The 20,219-nt window shown below is 59.3% G+C and overlaps 1 protein-coding gene and 1 non-coding gene across 2 annotated transcripts in view, besides 4 other annotated features; both read left to right on the forward strand.

The window, feature by feature from the left end:
* The window catches only part of MUC5B (mucin 5B, oligomeric mucus/gel-forming), a 39,107-nt gene extending 29,114 nt beyond the window's left edge, over positions 1–9,993 (forward strand). Inside the window, exons 32-49 of the mRNA NM_002458.3 lie at positions 164–345; positions 630–801; positions 1,913–2,172; positions 2,515–2,701; positions 2,862–3,087; positions 3,204–3,379; positions 3,977–4,046; positions 4,492–4,592; positions 5,061–5,092; positions 5,351–5,531; positions 5,920–6,024; positions 6,151–6,188; positions 6,763–6,882; positions 7,577–7,663; positions 7,784–7,906; positions 8,172–8,214; positions 8,447–8,549; positions 9,210–9,993. Coding sequence (NP_002449.2) covers positions 164–345; positions 630–801; positions 1,913–2,172; positions 2,515–2,701; positions 2,862–3,087; positions 3,204–3,379; positions 3,977–4,046; positions 4,492–4,592; positions 5,061–5,092; positions 5,351–5,531; positions 5,920–6,024; positions 6,151–6,188; positions 6,763–6,882; positions 7,577–7,663; positions 7,784–7,906; positions 8,172–8,214; positions 8,447–8,549; positions 9,210–9,429 — 2,426 coding nt within the window. The 3' untranslated portion in view covers positions 9,430–9,993. The remainder of the gene's footprint in view (positions 1–163; positions 346–629; positions 802–1,912; positions 2,173–2,514; positions 2,702–2,861; positions 3,088–3,203; positions 3,380–3,976; positions 4,047–4,491; positions 4,593–5,060; positions 5,093–5,350; positions 5,532–5,919; positions 6,025–6,150; positions 6,189–6,762; positions 6,883–7,576; positions 7,664–7,783; positions 7,907–8,171; positions 8,215–8,446; positions 8,550–9,209) is intronic.
* On the forward strand, positions 4,426–4,491 carry MIR6744 (microRNA 6744). Its single transcript, NR_106802.1, has one exon. It is a non-coding gene; the product is annotated as a microRNA 6744 (primary transcript).
* Positions 7,928–8,157: a silencer, noted in NCBI's record as "silent region_3050". NCBI's record gives its function as "represses an Ori minimal core promoter by ATAC-STARR-seq in GM12878 lymphoblastoid cells {active_cell/tissue: GM12878}" and the evidence as "EXISTENCE:reporter gene assay evidence [ECO:0000049][PMID:35858748]".
* Positions 10,024–10,529: an enhancer, noted in NCBI's record as "H3K27ac-H3K4me1 hESC enhancer chr11:1283433-1283938 (GRCh37/hg19 assembly coordinates)". NCBI's record gives its function as "activates a minimal SCP1, AML or CMV promoter by ChIP-STARR-seq in naive H9 embryonic stem cells {active_cell/tissue: H9 hESC(naive)}" and the evidence as "EXISTENCE:reporter gene assay evidence [ECO:0000049][PMID:30033119]".
* Positions 10,311–10,460: a silencer, noted in NCBI's record as "silent region_3051". NCBI's record gives its function as "represses an Ori minimal core promoter by ATAC-STARR-seq in GM12878 lymphoblastoid cells {active_cell/tissue: GM12878}" and the evidence as "EXISTENCE:reporter gene assay evidence [ECO:0000049][PMID:35858748]".
* Positions 12,424–12,483: an enhancer, noted in NCBI's record as "active region_4288". NCBI's record gives its function as "activates an Ori minimal core promoter by ATAC-STARR-seq in GM12878 lymphoblastoid cells {active_cell/tissue: GM12878}" and the evidence as "EXISTENCE:reporter gene assay evidence [ECO:0000049][PMID:35858748]".

A 20,219-nucleotide genomic window follows, 5' to 3' on the forward strand; every position in this document is an offset into this window, starting at 1 on the left:
GCCACACTTGGTCCCCACTGGCCACACTCAGCCTCTGCCCTCTCCACTCCCTTCCCTGGAACCGCTGCTCCCTCCTGCGCTGACCTCTGCCTTTGCTCTCCCAGAACTCTGGCTTACCCATCTCTGGGAGTGGCTTATCTTTCTATGGTGTTGTTCTTCACAGGGGAAGTCATCTACAATAAGACCGACCGAGCCGGCTGCCATTTCTACGCAGTGTGCAATCAGCACTGTGACATTGACCGCTTCCAGGGCGCCTGTCCCACCTCCCCACCGCCAGTGTCCTCCGCCCCGCTGTCCTCGCCCTCCCCTGCCCCTGGCTGTGACAATGCCATCCCTCTCCGGCAGGTGGGCCCCGCCTGCCCTCCACCTCCCGTGCTGCGTGCACACGGTCTGGGTTGGCTGGAGGCACAGCCACAGTCCAGCTCCCGAGGCCCGTCTCAGTGACCCCGCCGCCAGTATCTCCAGTTGGAGGAGGCACACAGGGCCTAGGGGCCAGGCTAGCATGGGGGCCGCCCTCCTCAGGCAGGCTCTTGTGGCCACCCGGGGCTTTGGGCCATGAGGGGTGGGATGAGCCGTGGATGGGTCCCGTGAGCTGGTCCAGGTGAGGACGTGCATGTTCCCTGCCCCAGGTGAATGAGACCTGGACCCTGGAGAACTGCACGGTGGCCAGGTGCGTGGGTGACAACCGTGTCGTCCTGCTGGACCCAAAGCCTGTGGCCAACGTCACCTGCGTGAACAAGCACCTGCCCATCAAAGTGTCGGACCCGAGCCAGCCCTGTGACTTCCACTATGAGTGCGAGTGTGAGTGCGTCGGTGGCCGCGGGATTACCCCGGGGGCAGGTGGAGCAGAGTGCACCGTCGGCTAGGCTGGCAGAATGGGGCATGGTGGGGCACAGTGGGGTGCAGTGGGGAATGGTGGGGCATGGTGGGGCATGGTGGGGTGCAGTGGGGCATGGTGGGGCATGGTGGGGTGTGGTGGTGGTGTTTGGGAGATCGCTGGCATCCCTTCAGGAAACCATCATGCACCATGCTGTCTTGGGCCTCAGTGGTGCACGTCGTGAGAGCTGTTAGTATGCAGGCTCCGTGTCCACAGGGCTGAAAATGCTGACACAGCCCAAGGGAGAGGCAGCAGAGGCTGGTTTGCTGAGCTTCTCTGCACATCAGCCTGTGTGGTTTGAAAGGGACCCTGCCCAGGGGCTTCTGGGGCCAGGAGAAGCTCAGGATGGAAGCGGGAGCCCAGAGGAGCTTTTGTCTCCTGGGTCCTAACAGCGGCTTCCATCACCGTGCGGGACCCACCGCTAAGAGGTCACGGCGTTCTCACTCCTCCCCATGTCCTTGGCCCAGGGCTGCTGTTCCAAACCGCCACAAGCTGGGGAGCTTATACAACAGAAACCCACTCTCCGTCCTGGAGCTGGAAGTCTGAGATCCAGGCGGGCAGGGGATAGACTCCCTGCTGAGGGTCTGGGGAGGTCCTTCCTGCCTCTCCCAGCTTTGGGGACTCCAGGTGTCCTTTGGCTGTGGCTGCATCCCTCCGATCTCTGCCTCTGCCTCTCTGTGGCCTCCCCTCTCTGTGTCTGTGTCTCTTCTGTCTCCCGTAAGGACACTGGTCATTGGATTGAGGGCCCACCCAGCTAGTCCACGATGATGTCATTTCAAGATGCTTCCCTTAATCCCATCTGCAAAGACACTTTCTCCCGGCAAAGCCACATGCGGAGGTTCTGGGATAGCCATAGATTTTGGGGGACCCCATTCTACACACTGGACCCATTTTTATAGACGAGGCAGCTGAGGCCCCAGGGGCTTCAGTGGCTCCCCAAGGCGGCAGTCACAGTGGTGACGCTGGCTGCCATGACGCCTGGGGAGCGAGGGCACCACCACGGAGCCTGCCAGCCCGTCCATCTCTGTCCCGCAGGCATCTGCAGCATGTGGGGCGGCTCCCACTATTCCACCTTTGACGGCACCTCTTACACCTTCCGGGGCAACTGCACCTATGTCCTCATGAGAGAGATCCATGCACGCTTTGGGAATCTCAGCCTCTACCTGGACAACCACTACTGCACGGCCTCTGCCACTGCCGCTGCCGCCCGCTGCCCCCGCGCCCTCAGCATCCACTACAAGTCCATGGATATCGTCCTCACTGTCACCATGGTGCATGGGAAGGAGGAGGGCCTGGTGAGTCCAGGCTGCGGGTGGCACAGTGTTGGCCCAGTCCCAACCGCACCTGGGCAGGCCGACTGCAGGCCGGGGTGACCCAGGTGCCGCAGCGATGGCCCAGTGCCCAAGACAGCTCCCAGGGGGCAGGGAAGGCCTGTGGAGCCGCCTAAGGCCGAGCGCACCCTGTGGCCTAAATGCAGCCAGCTGGAGACTCCAGGCCCCCAGGGAAGATCTGGGCTTTGGGGTGGGGGATACACAGGGGGGTCTCTGCACATGGAGGCAGAGCCCCAAAGAGAAGCCCTGCTCCCCGAGCCCACCTGGCACTGCCTCCCAGCTCAGGGTTCCCCTGGATTCCCCCAGATCCTGTTTGACCAAATTCCGGTGAGCAGCGGTTTCAGCAAGAACGGCGTGCTTGTGTCTGTGCTGGGGACCACCACCATGCGTGTGGACATTCCTGCCCTGGGCGTGAGCGTCACCTTCAATGGCCAAGTCTTCCAGGCCCGGCTGCCCTACAGCCTCTTCCACAACAACACCGAGGGCCAGTGCGGTGAGTGGGCGGCGGGTCCTGCCCCGGCCAGGGCTGCTGCTGGGCCTGACAACCCAGTGAGCATAGGGGAAGCCTGGGGAGGGGAATGAGTGGGGGAGGGGGGTGGGGGCTGTGAAAGGCTCCCCAGATTCCAGCCCCGCGGTGACGCCCCCACTCCCAGGCACCTGCACCAACAACCAGAGGGACGACTGTCTCCAGCGGGACGGAACCACTGCCGCCAGTTGCAAGGACATGGCCAAGACGTGGCTGGTCCCCGACAGCAGAAAGGATGGCTGCTGGGCCCCGACTGGCACACCCCCCACTGCCAGCCCCGCAGCCCCGGTGTCTAGCACACCCACCCCCACCCCATGCCCACCACAGCCGCTCTGTGATCTGATGCTGAGCCAGTGAGTCCTCCCCTCGGGGGTTGCAGGCCCTGGGGCGCCCCCGCCCGCCCGCATGCACGCACGCACGCAGCTCCCTGGGGCTGGGGGCCCTCCGTCCTGATCGCTTTGCCCCACAGGGTCTTTGCTGAGTGCCACAACCTTGTGCCCCCGGGCCCATTCTTCAACGCCTGCATCAGCGACCACTGCAGGGGCCGCCTTGAGGTGCCCTGCCAGAGCCTGGAGGCTTACGCAGAGCTCTGCCGCGCCCGGGGAGTGTGCAGTGACTGGCGAGGTGCAACCGGTGGCCTGTGCGGTGAGTGGGGGCGGCCCCGGGCCCCCCAGACCCCTCGGCCTCTCTGAGTGTCCTGTGCGGTGAGTGGGGGCGGCCCCGGGCCCCCCAGACCCCTCGGCCTCTCTGAGTGTCCTGTGCGGTGAGTGGGGGCGGCCCCGGGCCCCCCAGACCCCTCGGCCTCTCTGAGTGTCCTGTGCGGTGAGTGGGGGCGGCCCCGGGCCCCCCAGACCCCTCGGCCTCTCTGAGTGTCCTGTGCGGTGAGTGGGGGCGGCCCCGGGCCCCCCAGACCCCTCGGCCTCTCTGAGTGTCCTGTGCGGTGAGTGGGGGCGGCCCCGGGCCCCCCAGACCCCTCGGCCTCTCTGAGTGTCCTGTGCGGTGAGTGGGGGCGGCCCCGGGCCCCCCAGACCCCTCGGCCTCTCTGAGTGTCCTGTGCGGTGAGTGGGGGCGGCCCCGGGCCCCCCAGACCCCTCGGCCTCTCTGAGTGTCCTGTGCGGTGAGTGGGGGCGGCCCCGGGCCCCCCAGACTCCTCGGCCTCTCTGAGTGTCCTGTGCGGTGATTGGGGGCGGCCCTGGGCCCCCCCAACCCCTTGGCTTGTCTGACACCTCTCTGTGCCCACAGACCTCACCTGCCCACCCACCAAAGTGTACAAGCCATGCGGCCCCATACAGCCTGCCACCTGCAACTCTAGGTAAGTACAGGGATGGCTGGTGCCTTCCCTGCCACCCAGGCCTGCCTGACCGGTCTGGGGGAGCAGGAGGAGGCCAGAGGGTGTCCCACTGTGGGCCACAGATCTCTGGGGTGCCCGAGCCCAGGACTCCTTGGAAAACATCCCCTGCTGCTCCCAGATGCCTTAGAGACAGAGTCAGGCAGGGGGCGCATCCCTGGCCACGCCTGGCCCCGCATCCCCACCTGGCCCCGCCACCGAGCCCCACCCATCCCCGCCCATACTTAGCCCCGCCCACCCCCACCCCAGCCCCACCCGTCCCCGCCCCCAGCCCCGCCCACCCTGAGCCCCGCACTCCACCCATTCATCTCCTTCCCTGCTCCCCACTGCCCATCCTGGGGACTCACGTGGATGACAGTGGAGGCCTCCTGGATCTCTAGGTCTCAGGGCCTCTCTTGTCATCCTGCAGGAACCAGAGCCCACAGCTGGAGGGGATGGCGGAGGGCTGCTTCTGCCCTGAGGACCAGATCCTCTTCAACGCACACATGGGCATCTGCGTGCAGGCCTGCCGTAAGCTCCGCCACCTGTGGCGGGATACGACCCTGGGCCCGACCCAAGCACACACAGGGTGGGAGGAGCCGCCCAGGACCATGATGTGCTCTCCCCTCTCCCCAGCTGACCCCCGTGACCTGTTCTGCCCCACCAGAGCATGGGATGGCCCCAGAGTGGCCCTGAACCCTGCAGAGCCCCCACGGTCCCCTGAAGCCCCACAGGGAGGCTCTGTCCTTGAGTGATCCTGTGATGGTCCCTCCCCTGAGCCCTGCCTCCCACCACCATGGACGAGGCTTCCATGCACTGACAGCTGGGCTCACGGTGCCCTGGCCTGAGCTCCAGCCACATCTGACACCCCAAAAGTTCTCCAGGGCCTTCCATCCCGGGGGGAAGCAGGCTCCAGGCCTGAGAGCACCTCCCATGGCCAGAGGCCCCTCCGCCTGCAAACTCAGCACCCTCCGTGATGCCATGCTGTTTTCTTTCCAGCCTGCGTGGGACCCGATGGGTTTCCTAAATTTGTGAGTGGCTCCACCCCCACCTGCCCTACCCCACCCTCTCGCGAGCTGAGGGAGGGAGGGAAGGAGCATCCCCATCCCACAGGGCAGCTGTGGGGCGCCCGAGTGTGACGTGGACGTGCCAGTGGCTGGTGTGCGCTTCCTGCCCCATCACTCTGGGCCACTCGGGTACCAGCCCGAGGGAGGGGGTGGCTGGACAGATGCCCAGGGTTGACCTGTGTCTGTCCAGGAGCCCTCAGGGACCCCCTTGATCCATTCCAGCCCGGGGAGCGGTGGGTCAGCAACTGCCAGTCCTGCGTGTGTGACGAGGGTTCAGTGTCGGTGCAGTGCAAGCCCCTGCCCTGTGACGCCCAGGGTCAGCCCCCGCCGTGCAACCGTCCCGGCTTCGTAACCGTGACCAGGCCCCGGGCCGAGAACCCCTGCTGCCCCGAGACGGTGTGCGGTAAGACGCTGCAGAGCAGAGGTGCCCGGCATAGGGTGAGGGGGGACAGAGCCGGTGCCCACCAGGGGCCTGTGGGTTGGGCACAGGAGAGCAGAGGAGAGCCACTGTGTCCTGGCGTGACCGCGGCAGGACCACTCGGCAGAGATGGCCTCCAGGTGCTTCATTCTCCTCCTAACGATGAGGCTGGTGACCTCTGGCCTGCCCAGGAGTGGCCCAGGGACGTGGGAAGCAGCGGGGAGGTGGCCAAGCAAGGGGCCTGGAGGGAGCCCCCAGGGGCTGTGAAGCGGTCAGGTCCTCGGGGAAAAGCACGCCTGCGACTTACTCTGGGAACAAGTGGTCGGGAGGAGGAGTGAGCAGCGCCCAGACAGTGGCCTCCATCCTCCCGCAGTGTGCAACACAACCACCTGCCCCCAGAGCCTGCCTGTGTGCCCGCCAGGGCAGGAGTCCATCTGCACCCAGGAGGAGGGCGACTGCTGTCCCACCTTCCGCTGCAGTGAGCGGGGCTGGGGCCGGGCTCCTGGGTGGCCTCTTGCTGGGGGTGGGGGAGTGCAGGATGGTGGGGGCGCTGGAGCACATGCTCCCCACCACTTGTCGAGGGCTTAGCTCCCTTTCCTTCCAGGACCTCAGCTGTGTTCGTACAATGGCACCTTCTACGGGGTAAGGGCACAGCAGTGGGTGGGTGTGGCCCTGGGGCCTGAACATGTGTGTGGGATGCCCCGGGGCTCTCTGAGCCCCACTCCTTGTCTTGACATTCCTGCCCTGAGGGCCGATCCGCACAGGGGCCCTGGACACGTCAGAGCTGGGACATGCTTGGGACTCAGGGGCACCTTACGTCGACAGCCATGAGCTCCACAACTGCTGCCTCTGAGAGGTCCCTTCAGGGGCTCCCAGCAACAGCCTGGGGGCAGCACACACTGGCCTGGGGTCCCCGCCTGCCCGCCCAGATTCCTACCCGCCCGGATTCCTGCCTGCCAGATTCCTGCCCCCATGGGGTCTCTGCCCACCCAGATTCCTGCCCACATGGGGTCTCTGCCTGCCCAGATTCCCTGCCCACCTGTGGTCCCTGTGTGCATCAGCTCCCTGCCTGCCTGGGTCCATGCTCAGCCAGGGGTGCATCTATGCTCCATCTGAGGAAGGAACAACTCCCTGCAGGCCCCATTGGGTCATGGGGAGGGGTCCTGGCCCTGTTGCCCCACCAGTGCCCTCAGTGCCACCCTCCCACCCCTTGCAGGTTGGTGCAACCTTCCCAGGCGCCCTTCCCTGCCACATGTGTACCTGCCTCTCTGGGGACACCCAGGACCCAACGGTGCAATGTCAGGAGGATGCCTGCAACAATACTACCTGTCCCCAGGTGAGACCCGAGGCACCTGCCCCCAGGTGAGCCCCCGAGGCACCTGCCCCCAAGTGAGACCCGAGGCACCTGCCCCCAGGTGAGACCTGAGTCACCCGCCCCCAGGTGAGCCCCCGAGGCACCTGCCCCCAGGTGAGTCCCTGAGGCACTTGCCCCCAAGTGAGACCCGAGGCACCTGCCCCCAGGTGAGACCCGAGGCACCTGCCCCCAGGTGAGACCTGAGTCACCTGCCCCCAGGTGAGCCACCAAGGCACCTGCCCCCAAGTGAGACCCGAGGCACCTGCCCCCAGGTGAGCCCACAGCTGCTGGGCAGACCCAGCCCTGAGTCACTTATCCTGGCTCCCTGGGGTTCTCTAGCTCAGCCATTGCTGGGGTCTTGTTTGTTTCCAAAGGGAGGGTATGAAGTAGGAGGATAACTGAGGGGGTCTGGGGGTGGGACAGGACCTGCAGGCTGCTGGGGACAGGGGCTGAGGTCAGGTTCCAGGAAGGCAGGGGTAGGCAGAGAGAAGGTGCTGGAAACTGGGGTGAGGCTGAGCCGGGATAACTGAGTGGGGGCAACTTCTTCGGGTATAGGCCCAGGCAGGGACAGGGCTAAGGGGTCCTGGACCACTGGGGTGTAGACAGGAGGGCAGGCTGGGCCGGGGCATGTGCTGGAGGAGAGGGTTAGGGCCTGACGCCCCTCATGTCCCCACAGGGCTTTGAGTACAAGAGAGTGGCCGGGCAGTGCTGTGGGGAGTGCGTCCAGACCGCCTGCCTCACGCCCGATGGCCAGCCAGTCCAGGTAACAGCAGAGGCATGTGGGGGCAGGTCTCAGCTCCCTCCCTGGAGACCCTCACCCCCAATGGGGCTCTGCACAAGAGGTAATCCCTACTCAGCTTCCACACTCACCCTTGCATTTCAGCTGAATGAAACCTGGGTCAACAGCCATGTGGACAACTGCACCGTGTACCTCTGTGAGGCTGAGGGTGGAGTCCATTTGCTGACCCCACAGCCTGCATCCTGCCCAGATGTGTCCAGCTGCAGGGTGTGTGCTGGAGGCCCTGCCCCTGCCTGGGAGTCCTTGTCCATCAGGGAGGCCCAACCCCTGTCTGGGATGCCCTGCACAGCAGGGAGGCCCCACCCCTGCTGGGGAGGCCCCACCCCTGCCTGGGAAGCCCCACCCCTGCCTGGGAGGCCCCGCCCCTGCCCGGGAGGCCATGCCCCTGCCCGGGTGGGCCCCTCCCCAGGAGGCCGCACCCACCAGGGAGGCCCCGCCCACAGCCCTGCCCCCTGTCTTTGGCCCCCACCAGGGGAGCCTCAGGAAAACCGGCTGCTGCTACTCCTGTGAGGAGGGTAAGTGGAAGCCACCTTCCCACACCAGCCCTCCAGCTCCAGCCCGTCGCCACCCATCCATTCCTGCCCAGACATCTGCACTAGGCAGCAGTGGGATGCCCGCGTCCAGACTCCACCCTCGGTCCTGGAGGGCCATGGGAGGGGTGGTCCCATGGGGAGGGTCGGCCCAGCAAGTCCAGGCCCTCAGAGTGAGGGTCCAGTGGGGCTCCACATCTGCCTTTCCTCCTCCCAGACTCCTGTCAAGTCCGCATCAACACGACCATCCTGTGGCACCAGGGCTGCGAGACCGAGGTCAACATCACCTTCTGCGAGGGCTCCTGCCCCGGAGCGTCCAAGTGAGTGGGCTCCTGGCCCTGTGCCAAGAGCACCTGCGTGTGGTGGGTCCGCCCTGGCCCGTCAGCTGGCTGGCAGCCTGCTCTGGGTCAGGAGGGCCTACGCCAGCTCCAGGAAGGAGGGAAGGGGCTCCCCAGCAGGGCTCCCCCTCTCCACGTCCATTGGCAGAAAGCCTGGGGCCGCTCTCCTAGCCAGGCCAGGGCCCGGCTGAGCCGAGCCACATGGCACAGAGCTCCCCGCTGCGAACCCAGGTCCAGGTGTCCCCCTGGGGAGGGTGGGTGGAACCAGAGCCTTCTGTGAAGCCCCCCATGGCTTGCCACTGTGGTTGGCTGTCAGCAGGAGGGGCCAGAAGGGTTGACCCTTAGCTAGAAGAGGCAGGAGGAAGGGTCAAGGGCTGCTTAGGGTCAGCAGGATTGGAGGAGCTGGTTCAGACAGGGGAAGTGCAGGCCACAGAAGACAGAGCCGGGAGCCAAGGGACCCTGGGGGCCCAGAGCTGCCCCATCCTGAGAAGGTGAAGCCTCACGTGCCCACAGAGCAGGCCACTGTGGACAGAAGGGGGCGGCCGTCTGGCCCAGGACCCCAGAGGCCCATGTGTCACCATGGCTGGGCAGAGAAACGGCGGGGCCAAGGTGGCTGATGTGAGGGCCACCCTGCGTCCACAGGTACTCAGCAGAGGCCCAGGCCATGCAGCACCAGTGCACCTGCTGCCAGGAGAGGCGGGTCCACGAGGAGACGGTGCCCTTGCACTGTCCTAACGGCTCAGCCATCCTGCACACCTACACCCACGTGGATGAGTGTGGCTGCACGCCCTTCTGTGTCCCTGCGCCCATGGCTCCCCCACACACCCGTGGCTTCCCGGCCCAGGAGGCCACTGCTGTCTGAGAACGTTCTGCCTCCATCCCCATGCTCTGTCCACCTGGAGCCAGGATGTGCATTGTCTGATCATGAAAACCTTGGGCCTCCTCTGCGGAGCCCCCCGGCCTGTGTGTGGCACCCCGCGCTCCGTGCTCCTGCTGCCCACCCCGTGGGTGAAACCGGCCCCAGAAGGGTGAGGGGCCAGCAGGACCCCTTTCGGGAGGGCGCCACTCAGGAGTCCTACCCTGGGAGAGCCTGTGGCCCACCTTGGCCTTGCCCCTCCCTGATGTCACTGGGACGCCCTGGAACAAACTAAGCATGTGCGGGCCTATGTGTCCCTGCCACGGCCGGAGCGCCCGCGCAGCACGGATTCCAGCTGGCCACGTCCGGCCGCTGGGGCAGACAGGCTGGTCCAGGCAAGGCCAGCTGCTGCCAGGAAGCTGCGACAGGCAAGGCGGCCGCCTGTCCATGCCTGCTGCAGGGTAACTCAGGGCTGAGGTCGCAACGGCCAGGTCAGAGAGGGGTCAGCATCCCAAAGCCCCCTCTGCTCAACCCAGCCCAGTTTTGCAAATAAACCCTGAGCATTGAGTACGTTTCCTGTCCTGACGTCTTTTCTTGCCTACCGTCTTTCCCAGGCTGTCCAGGTCCTCTGTGGGCTGCTTGCCTGGGGCCTGCAGGCTGGAGGACACATCCGGGGGGCAGTCCAGGACCCCCAGCAGCCACTGAAGGACCAGGAAGCCTCTGGGAAGGCCAGGCAGGGTGGGGGACAAGGAGCCGCTTGGTCATCCACATGCCCCTGTGGGCACCCCGAGAGTCAGTCTTGGGCTGTGGGAGCACTGCCCAGGGGACAGGGGGCAGGGGGCCGCCAGGACTCAGAGGTCACCCCGGCTGTTATTTCCAGTGTAGGGGATTGTGTGAGGAAACCAGCTCATGTAGGAAGATGGAGGCAGTCAGTGGGGCAAGCAGGCGACCAGGCCCGGTCAGCGGGGAGGCAGCTGCCCCCCAGGGCAGGTGCACGGAGCCAGGTGCAATGCTCCCAGGCTGGTGCTGGGCCCTGCGGGGCCGCCTTTCACCCTGTTCCACGCGCACCTCTCCGGGAATGCTTTCCTTGGGGCACTTGCTACGCAAGCGACACGTGAGCTTGCTGGCTTCCTGTCCCGCCTCCTGTCCCGCCTCCTGTCCCGCCTCCTGTCGCGCCTCCTGTCCCGCCTCCTGTCCCACCTCCTGTCCCGCCTCCACACGCACGGGCAGGGCTTTCTGCCCTTCCTTTCTATTGCTCTGTCCAGAGCAGAGAGCACCCGGTGCAGACAGCAGGGTATCGGGGAGCCTGTGGGATGGGTGGGGTCAGCAGCTGGGGCTGCAGGTGTGGGCAGGGAAGACAGTGAAGGTGGTGCCAGCCAGGACCTAGGCATAGCAGGATGCAGGGAGCTTTGGACACAAAATGACCTCCTACTGGGCAGGGGGTGGCTACAGGCAGACCGTGGCCTGGGGAGACAAAAGCAATGCTCGTGCCTGGCTGCAGAAGCCTGTGGTGTGGGTGCAGAGCGGGGCCTTCCCCACACCGGGGCCTGCCTCTGCCCTGTGCCCTTGGGTGGGTCCTGCCCTGCCCAGGAAGTGATGCCATCACACTGTACATTTACAGAGCTCCCAGCTCCTGGGGGCCCAGCCAGGCCCCTGCCAGCGCTCCAGAGCTCCAGCCTCTCCTGCCCTCCTTGCCGAGGCCCAGCAGGGCCAGCCACCCCAGGACTGGGCTGGAGATAGGCAGGGGCCTGACAAGGTTGCAGGTGGGCTCTGGTGGGCGGTGGGCTAGGTTGGTCACCACTGGGGTGAGCTTCTATAGGTTTACCCTGCGTCTCCGAGGCTGATTGTCTGGAGGTTGCGCCAGGTCACTGCCTGACCTGGGTCTGCATTCCGCCACGTGTAAACAAATGGTTTCCGAAACCTCAGTCATTCCCATGGTGCGATGGTTTCCTTAGACCCATTTATGTCGGTGTATGGGTACAAGCACCCCTCTCAGAGGCCCATGCTGTGCTGTCTCTGTGCCCCAGAACCGTATCATTCAATCCTGACAATACCCTGTGTGGTGTCTGCTATTGTGTCTCCCACTCCACAGATGGGAACACTGAGGCACAAAGCAATGAAAAGGTGTGGTTCTGTCAGGGGGAAAGCTGGGCTCACATCCAGGCAGCCCAAGTCGAGGCCACACTCAAAACCACAGGGCTCTGCAATGCCCCAGAGCAAGTAACTATAAAAATAAACACAGTGGGCCAGGCGCGGTGGCTCATGCCTGTAATCCCAGCATTTTGGGAGGCTGAGACGGGCGGATTACGAGGTCAGGAGATCGAGACCATCCTGGCTAACACGGTGAAACCCCATCTCTACTAAAAATACCAAAAATTAGCCAGGCGTGGTGGCGGGCGCCTGTGGTCCCAGCTACTCAGGAGGCTGAGGCAGGAGAATGGCGTGAACCCGGGAGGCAGAGCTTGCAGTGAGCCGAGATCGCGCCACTGCATTCCAGCTTGGGTGACAGAGTGAGACTCCGTCTCAAAAAAAATAAAAATTAAAATTAAATAAATAAATAAACACAGTGAATACAAACCAATGTTACTTAGACTTTAAAGACGTTTTAAAAGGGATTTCTGGTTTCCAGATGGAAAAGTGGGCCTGTCTTCCCCTACAGACACAGAAACTGTGACAATGATAGAAAGAAACTTTAAAATAGCAGCAATTGAAAACAAGAAACTAAATCATCTGCAAAGCCAGCAGATATCCCGAAAAGGAAACATTTGGGAAGTGCTGAGAGGGGGGCCCAAAACTTTTTGTATGAGGCCATTCTCGCACTGCTACAAAGAAATACCTGAGACTGGGTAATTTATAAAGAAAAGAGGTTTAACTGACTCACAGTTCTGCCTGGCTGAGGAGGCCTCAGGAAACTTACAATCATGGTGGAGGGTGAAGCAGAAGCAGGCACTTTCTTCACAAGGTGGCAGTAGAGAGAATGAGACCTAGCAGGGGAGATGCCAGATGCTTAGGAAACCACCAGATCTCGTGAGAATTCACTCACTATCACGAGAACAGCATGGGGGAAACCACCCCCATGATCCAATCACTCCCAGTGTCCCTCCCATGACATGTGGGGATCATGGGGATGTATTAGTCCGTTTTCACACTGTCTTCATACCCAAGACTGAGAAGAAAAAGAGGTTTAATTGGACTTACAGTTCCACATGGCTGGGGGAGGCCTCAGAATCATGGTGGGAGATGAAAGGCACTTCTTACATGGCAGTGGCAACAGAAAATGAGGAAGAAGCAAAAGTGGAAGCCCCTGATAAACCCATCAGATCTCGTGAGACTTAATCACAATCGCAAAAATAGCACATGAAAGACTGGCCCCCATGATTCAATTACCTCTGCCTGGGTCCCTCCCACAACGTGGGAATTCTGGAAGATACAATTCAAGGTGAGATTTGGGTGGGGACACAGCCAAACCATATCATTCTGCCCTGATACCTCCAAATCTCATGTCCTCACATTTCAAAACCAATCATGCCTTCCTAACCATCCCCAAAAGTCTTAATTCATTTCAGCATTAACCCAAAAGTCTGCAGTTCAACATCTCATCTGAGACGAGGCAAGTCCCTTCTGCCTATGAACCTGTAAAATCAAAAGCAAGTTAGTTACTTCCTAGATACAATGAGGGTACATGTATTGGGTAAATATAGCTGTTCCAAATGGGAGAAATTGGCCAAAACAAAGGGGCTACAGGGCCCATGCAAGTCCAAAATCCAGCGGGGCTGTCAAATTTTAAAGCTCCAAAATGATCTCTTTTGACTCCAGGTGTCATGTCCAGTTCACGCTGATGCAAGAGGTGGGTTCTCATGGTCTTGGGCAGCTCCTCCCCTGTGGCTTTGGAGGATACAGCCTCCCTCCTGGCTGCTTTCATGGGCTGGTGTTGAGTGTCTGTGGCTTTTCCAGGCACATGGTACAAGCTGTTGGTGGATCTACCTTTCTGGGGTCTGGAAGACAGTGGCCCTCTTTTCACAGCTCCACTAGGCGGTGGCCCAGTAGGGACTCTGTGTGGGGGCTCCAACCCCACATTTCCTTTCTGCACTGCCCTAGCAGAGGTTGTCCATGAGGGCCCCGCCCCTGCAGCAAGCTTCTGCCTGGACATTCAGGTGTTTCCGTAAATGTTCTGAAATTGAGGCGGAGGTTCCAAAACCTCAGTTCTTGACTTCTGTGCACCCACAGACTCAACACCACATGGAAGTTGCTAAGGCTTGGAGCTTCTACCCTCTGAAGCCACAGCCTGAACTCCACGTTGGGCCCCTTTCAGCCACAGTTGGAGAGGCTGGGATGCAGGGCACCAAGTCCCTAGGTTGCACACAGAACAGGGATCCTGGGCTCAGCCCACAAAACAATTTTTTCCTCCTGGGCCTCCAGGTTTCTGATGGGAGGGGGTGCCGTGAAGGTCTCTGACATGGCCTGGAGATATTTTCCCCATGGTCTTGGGGATTAACATTAGGCTCCTTGCTACTTAAGGAAATTTCTGCAGTCAGCTTAAATTTCTCCTCAAAAAATGGGTTTTTCTTTTCTACTGCATCATTGGGCTGCAAATTTTCTGAACTTTTACGCTCTGTTTTCCTCTTTAACAACAACAAAAAATCTTTTTGAGACGGAGTCTTGCTCTGTCACCCAGGCTGGAGTGCAGTGGCGCAATCTTGGCTCACTGCAACCTCCACCTCCCGGGTTCAAGTGATTCTCCTGCCTCAGCCTCCCTAGTTGGGATCACAGGCATGAGCCATTATGCCCAACTAATTTTTGCATTTTTAGTAGACACGGGGTTTCTTCATGTTGGCCAGGCTGGTCTCGAACTCAGCCTCAGGTGATCCACCCACCTCAGCCTCCCAAAGTGCTGGGATTACAGGTGTGAGCCACTGTGCCCGGCCTATTTCCCTTTTAAAATGGAATGTTTAACAGTATCCAAGTCACCTTTTTAATGCTTTGCTGCTTAAAAATTTCTTCTGCCAGATACCCTAAATCATCTCTCTGATGTTCAAAGTTCCACAAATCTCTAGGGCAGAGGCAAAAATGCCACCAGTGTCTTTGCTAAAACATAACAAGTGTCACCTTTGCTCCAGTTCCCAATAAGTTCCTCATCTTCATCTGAGACCACCTCAGCCTGGACCTTATTGTTCATATCACTATCAGCATTTTTGTCAAAGCCATTCAACAAGTCTCTAGGAGGTTCCAAACTTTCCCATGTTTTCCTATCTTCTTCTGAGCTCTCCAACCTGTTCCAATCTCTGCCTGTTACCCAGTTTCAAAATTCCTTCCACATTTTCAGGTATCTTTTCAGCAATGCCCCACTCTTGGTACCAACTTCTGTATTAGTTCATTTTCACACTGCTGATAAAGACATACCCAAGACTGGGAAGAAAGAAAGGTTTAATTGGACTTACAGTTCCACATGGCTGGGGAGGCCTCAGAATCATGGCAGGAGGCAAAATGCACTTCTTACATGGTGGCAGCAAGAGAAAAATGAGGAAGAACCGAAAGTGGAAACCCCTGATAAACCCATCAGATCTTGTGAGACTTAGTCACTATCATGAGAATAGTGCGGGAAAGACTGGCCCCCATGATTCAATTACCTCTGCCTGGGTCCCTCCTACAACACATGGGAATTCTGGGAGACACAATTCAAGGTGAGATTTGGGTGGGGACACAGAGCCTGACATCACTTTTCTTTATAGAAAATGGGCATTCAGCCTGAAACCACCAAGCAGCTCAGAGATGCTAACATCCTGAAGGAGAGCAAACGCTCCATCAGTAGAGAAAGACAAAGGCAATGTGCTCAAGCTATCAGGTTTAATAGAGGATTTGGAGGACAGATCTGGAAATCTCAACGCTTTTTCTAGTGAGCCACAAAAGGAAAGAATAGAGAGAATGGAAGAGAGGCCATATTTTCAGAACCGAAAACATGACGTCTTTGTTAGGCTCAAAGCTTTCAATGAGTGCCAAGACAGGCCAAGCAAAAATACACCCAAGAGAAAGAGAAAACCTCAAAGCCACCAGAAAGACAAGGCAGTTCACCCACAAAGGCATGAGAACCAGACAGGTATCTGGTTTCTCATTAGTAACACTGGATGCAGCAAGATGGTGCCATGGTATTTTTCAAAGCGCTGAGGGAAGGTAAATCAACACAGAATTCTATTCTATTCCAACCAGACTGTCATTTAAGAGTGACAAGGACATTTCTGACATACAGGGACTGAGAAGGTCACTTCCCACAGATCCTCTGTGAATGAGCTACTAACAGAGGTGGCCAGCGGCCAAGTGCAGTCACACGCATGCCATAATGGTGAGCAAAGAAATGGGTGACATGCCCTGGTTTTTTTGTTTTGTTTTTTGTTTTTTTGATATGGAGTCTCACTGTGTTGCATAGGCTGGAGTGCAGTGGCATGATCTCGGCTCACTGCGACCTCCGCCTCCCAGGTTCAAGTGACTCTCTGGCCTCAGTCTCCCGAGTAGCTGGGATGACAGGCATGTACCACCAAACCCAGCTAGTTTTCGTATTTTTAGTAGAGACGGGGTTTCATCATGTTGGCCAGGCTGGTCTCGAACTCCTGACCTCAGGTGATCCGCCCACCTCGACCTCCCAAAGTGCTGGATTACAGGTGTGAGCCACCGTGCCCGGCCTACATGCCCTGTTATATCCGAATAAGAAACGCACCTAACAGAAATCCACAGGTCACAATACAGAAGTTGCTAACTTTAGCGACTCAATCCTTCGTGGTTAGTGCCTGTTGGTCTTATTTAAGAAAACCCTTCTCTGCCCTGGGATCAGGAATGCTGTCTTCTGAATTATTTCCTAAAAGCTCTGCAATTTTGCCTTCTGCCTTTACATTTTGAATCCACCCAGAACTGGTGTATGAAAGTGGCATGAAGTAGGGGGTCTGACTCCATTTTATTTCACAGATCTTGCTGCTTGGCCCAATATCATGTACTAAAATGGCAACTGTTCCCCACCCTGTCATCTCTACAGTCTCTGTGTTGTTCCCTGGACTATTTATTGTCTTACTGTAGACAACAGTCTGTAGACAACAGTGTTGATAGTCCTGATATCTTTTTTTTTGTTGAGATGGAGTTTCGCACTGTCACCCTGGCCGGAGTGCAATGGCACGATCTTGGCTTGCTGCAACCTCCGCCTCCTGGCTTCAAGCGATTCTCCTGCCTCAGCCTCCCAAGCAGCTGGGATTACAGGCACCCGCCACCATGCCCAGCTAATTTTTTGTATTTTTAGTAGAGACGGGGTTTCACTATGTTGGCCAAGCTGGTCTCAAACTCCTGACCTCTTGATCCACCCACCTCGGCCTCCCAAAGTGCTGGGATTACAGGCATGAGCCACCGTGCCCAGCCCTTTTTTTTTTTTTTTTTTTTTTTTTTTTTTTTTTTTTGAGACAGAGTCTTGCTCTGTTGCCCAGGCTGGATGGAGTGCAATGCTGCGATCTCGGCTCACTGCAATCTCCACCTCCCGGGTTCTAGCGATTCTCCTGCCTCAGCCTCCTGAGTAACTGAGATTACAGGTGCCTGCCACCACACCCAGCTAATTTTGCATTTTTAGTAGAGGTGCGGTTTTGCCATGTTAGGCTGGTCTCAAACTCCTGAAATCAAGTGATCCTCCTGCCTCAGCCTCCCAAAGTGCTGGGATTACAGGTGTGAGCCACCTGGCCTTGATATCTATTTGAGCAAGCTTTCACATTTTGTGCTGCTTTTACAAGAATGTCTTGACTCTTCCTAGCTATTCAGAATTAACTTATCAAGCTTTACAAAAAACAGTACAACAAAACGGGGCTTGCTGGGACTTTGGGATTATACTGACTAAATTAATTTGAGAGAAGCTGACATCTTTACATATTGACTATTTCAATCCATGAACATTGTACATCTCCACCCTCCATCCCCACAAGACCACCTGGACTGAAGCTTAACTTTGCTGCAATAGCCTCTCTGGGTTCGCCTTTCCTTTGTCATCTTTTCAAAAACTCCAGGAAGAATTTAAAAACATGATATCCATCATTTTGGGCTGTTTTCAGTGAGATGGTCTCAATAAATCCACCTTGCTGGATTTCTGGGATGAGGTGTCCCCTTTCAAGAGAGGATACAGGCCTCAGAGGTATAGCAGTACCTATCAGTTCTGCCCACGCACACCCTGTAAGGGGCCAGCTGTGCTGTGGCCACATCAAGGGGCTCTGGAGGCTCCTGTGAGGGGGCCGCCTGAGCTGCTGTAAACCCACCCCTTGGGGCTGTGCACCTGCTCCAGTGAGTGTCTGCAACACAGAGACACCCCTTGGCTTCTAATGACCTCTGGCCAAAGCTCTCCTGGGAGAGGCCTCGGGACTCTGCCAGCACTGGTTGATGTGCCCAGGTCCTGTGGTCCCCACTGAGAGGACTGAGGCTCTGCGGGCAGAGGAAGGTTCAGTCCTGCTCCCCCTCCCCGTGGAGCCTGTGACTGGACACACTTTCTCTGAGCTCACTCTCTTGGGTGGGACCAGCTGCATCCCTGGAGCCTGTGACTGGACACACTCCGAGCTCACTCTCTCGGCTGGGACCAGCTGCATCCCTGGAGCCTGTGCCCACACACACTCTCTCTGAGCTCTCTCTCTCAGCTGGTACCAGCTGCATCCCCCTGGCTCCATTTCCTCTCCATAGTCAAGGAGAACATGTCTACAGCATCATGAGGAAGAGCTTAATGATGAGGTGTCTGTGCTGAAGACCATCCTGCCTCTGTGGGTCCTTACCTGGCCCTTGGCCCTGCCCTCTGAGACTCTGGGGCCAAGGGCTGAGTCTCAGCTCCTGAAACTTTTCTCTTCCCATGCCCCAGCCCTGGATGCAGGATCCAGCTGGGGCCCTGCTGTCCTTCCCTCTGGAACCCTGGTCCTGGGCCTTGGGAGTCCCTGGCCCACCAGAAAGGACCCTGACCCATCGCTACATGCCCGGCCTGGTGGGCCAAGTGCATTCTGTCAGGGCTCCTCCAGCCCTGCTGACGCCTGGACGCAGCCGTCGGGGTGAACCCGTCTCCACGGCCAGGCTCAACAGAGGGAAGGGGCTTGGTCTGGGTTGGGAGCCAAGAGGCAGTAGAAAGCCCAGAGGCTGTCGCCATTCACTGAGGGTGGAGGGATGGGGCAGCCTGGGTGGGTCCTCACCTGTTCCAGAACTCAGGACCTGGCCTTCTGGCCCAGGTTCTCTGCACTCAGCAACTTGTGCGAAACTTTATCCTGCAAGGGGTGATTGTGGTGTTTGTGGGAAGCGAGCAGCTCTCTGGCCACAACTTTCCCTCGGTTCTGGGTGACCCTGGGGACCTCCCTCCTCATTTCCCCCGAATCTGCTCCCTAGCTGAATGGAGGCCATCGAGGTCTTCAGGACCCTTCCAGCCTCTTCTGGGGCCCAGAACAGGCACTGAGGAGGCAGAGGGAGCCGGCCTGGGGCAGCAGGGCCTGGAGTGGTGTATGGTGAGTCAGCAGAGAAGGCCAAGTCTCACCCACTCCACAAAGCGAGCAGGGGCCGTGGGGAGGGCCCTGGGGGAGCCTCGGGTCCTCCGAGAGGCGGAGCCCACTGCAGCCCCTCCTGCCTGCACTGGGGCAAACGCCTCACGCTGGGCACAGCTCAGCCTGCCGGTCATAATCACAAACCCGTGTCATGCCTCGAGGAAACTCATGCTGAGTTTGTGACGTCTGCACTGACATTTTCGCTGTTTCTCACTTTTCCATTTTATCTTAAGTGAGCTTTATTGCTTTAACTTTAGTGATACCTGACAGTTAACAGGCACAGGAGATAAGTTTCTTTCAGTGACACTGCAAATGAGTAAGAAGGGGTTTCCTACGGGGTCAGGTGTCATGCTTTGCACAGCGATGCCCACCAGCACGTTCAAGGGAAGGCAGATGTTTCAAGCCTGACTCTCACACTCAGCAGTGAGGCCGGCTCTGTGTCGGGGAGTGTGGCACCAGCATTTTATTTTTGAGGCTAGAAATTTAAGGTAACAAGGCCTTTGCCAAGCTCTGGGAAAAGCCACGCACCGGCAGGCCTTCCTTTTCTGTTCCCTACCTGGCACTTTCTGTTTTGAGTAAAACTTGGTATCAAGGTTTTGCTCCCAAAACCGTTGCTCTGCAGAAATCTACAGTTCAAAGAGACGCTTTGAACACTGTTTTCAAAACTAAAATCCAAGAAAAGTGTCCGCCCTTTGCTCAGCGGCAGGAACCAGGCTGAGAGGGCTCTTCTCCACTCCAGCTGGGAAGGAGGGATCTGGGAGCCGCGTTTGGGACCCCCCCCAGCCTGGGGCACCCTGCTGGTGCTGCGGGTCCCTTTAGTCTCGGAGGCCCCGGGGACGGGGACCAGGGGACCTCGTTCATTTCAGCACTTCCTGGGGCCACCGCGCAGGGCTGAGCCTCCCACCCACACAGAGCACTTCCAGTGGGGTGCGGGGCGCCGGAGGGGCCGCGGCAAAGGCCCCAGAGGACACGCAGGGCCCGGGCCACCCCCTGCAGGGTCTCTGCCCGTTTCTCCAACCAAGGGTCGCTGGGAGGTTTGGGATGCACCGCGGTCTGACTGGGTCCCAGGCCGCCTTCCGCTGGGAGGGAGCAGGACCCCGCCTCGCAGCCCCTTCCCACCCCCGAAGCGGGTCCCCAGGACCGGCCCTGCTCCTCTCACCGGCACCCGCGGCGCCCCGGCCTGCAGCACCCCAGGGTGGGCGCTTCCCGTGTCTGGGTGGGGAGGCGAGGAGGGCCCTAGAACCCCCCCCGCCCCCGCCCTGCACACCCCCC

The sequence above is a fragment of the Homo sapiens genome, chromosome 11, assembly GCF_000001405.40.
Source record: "Homo sapiens chromosome 11, GRCh38.p14 Primary Assembly".
NCBI lineage: Eukaryota > Metazoa > Chordata > Mammalia > Primates > Hominidae > Homo > Homo sapiens.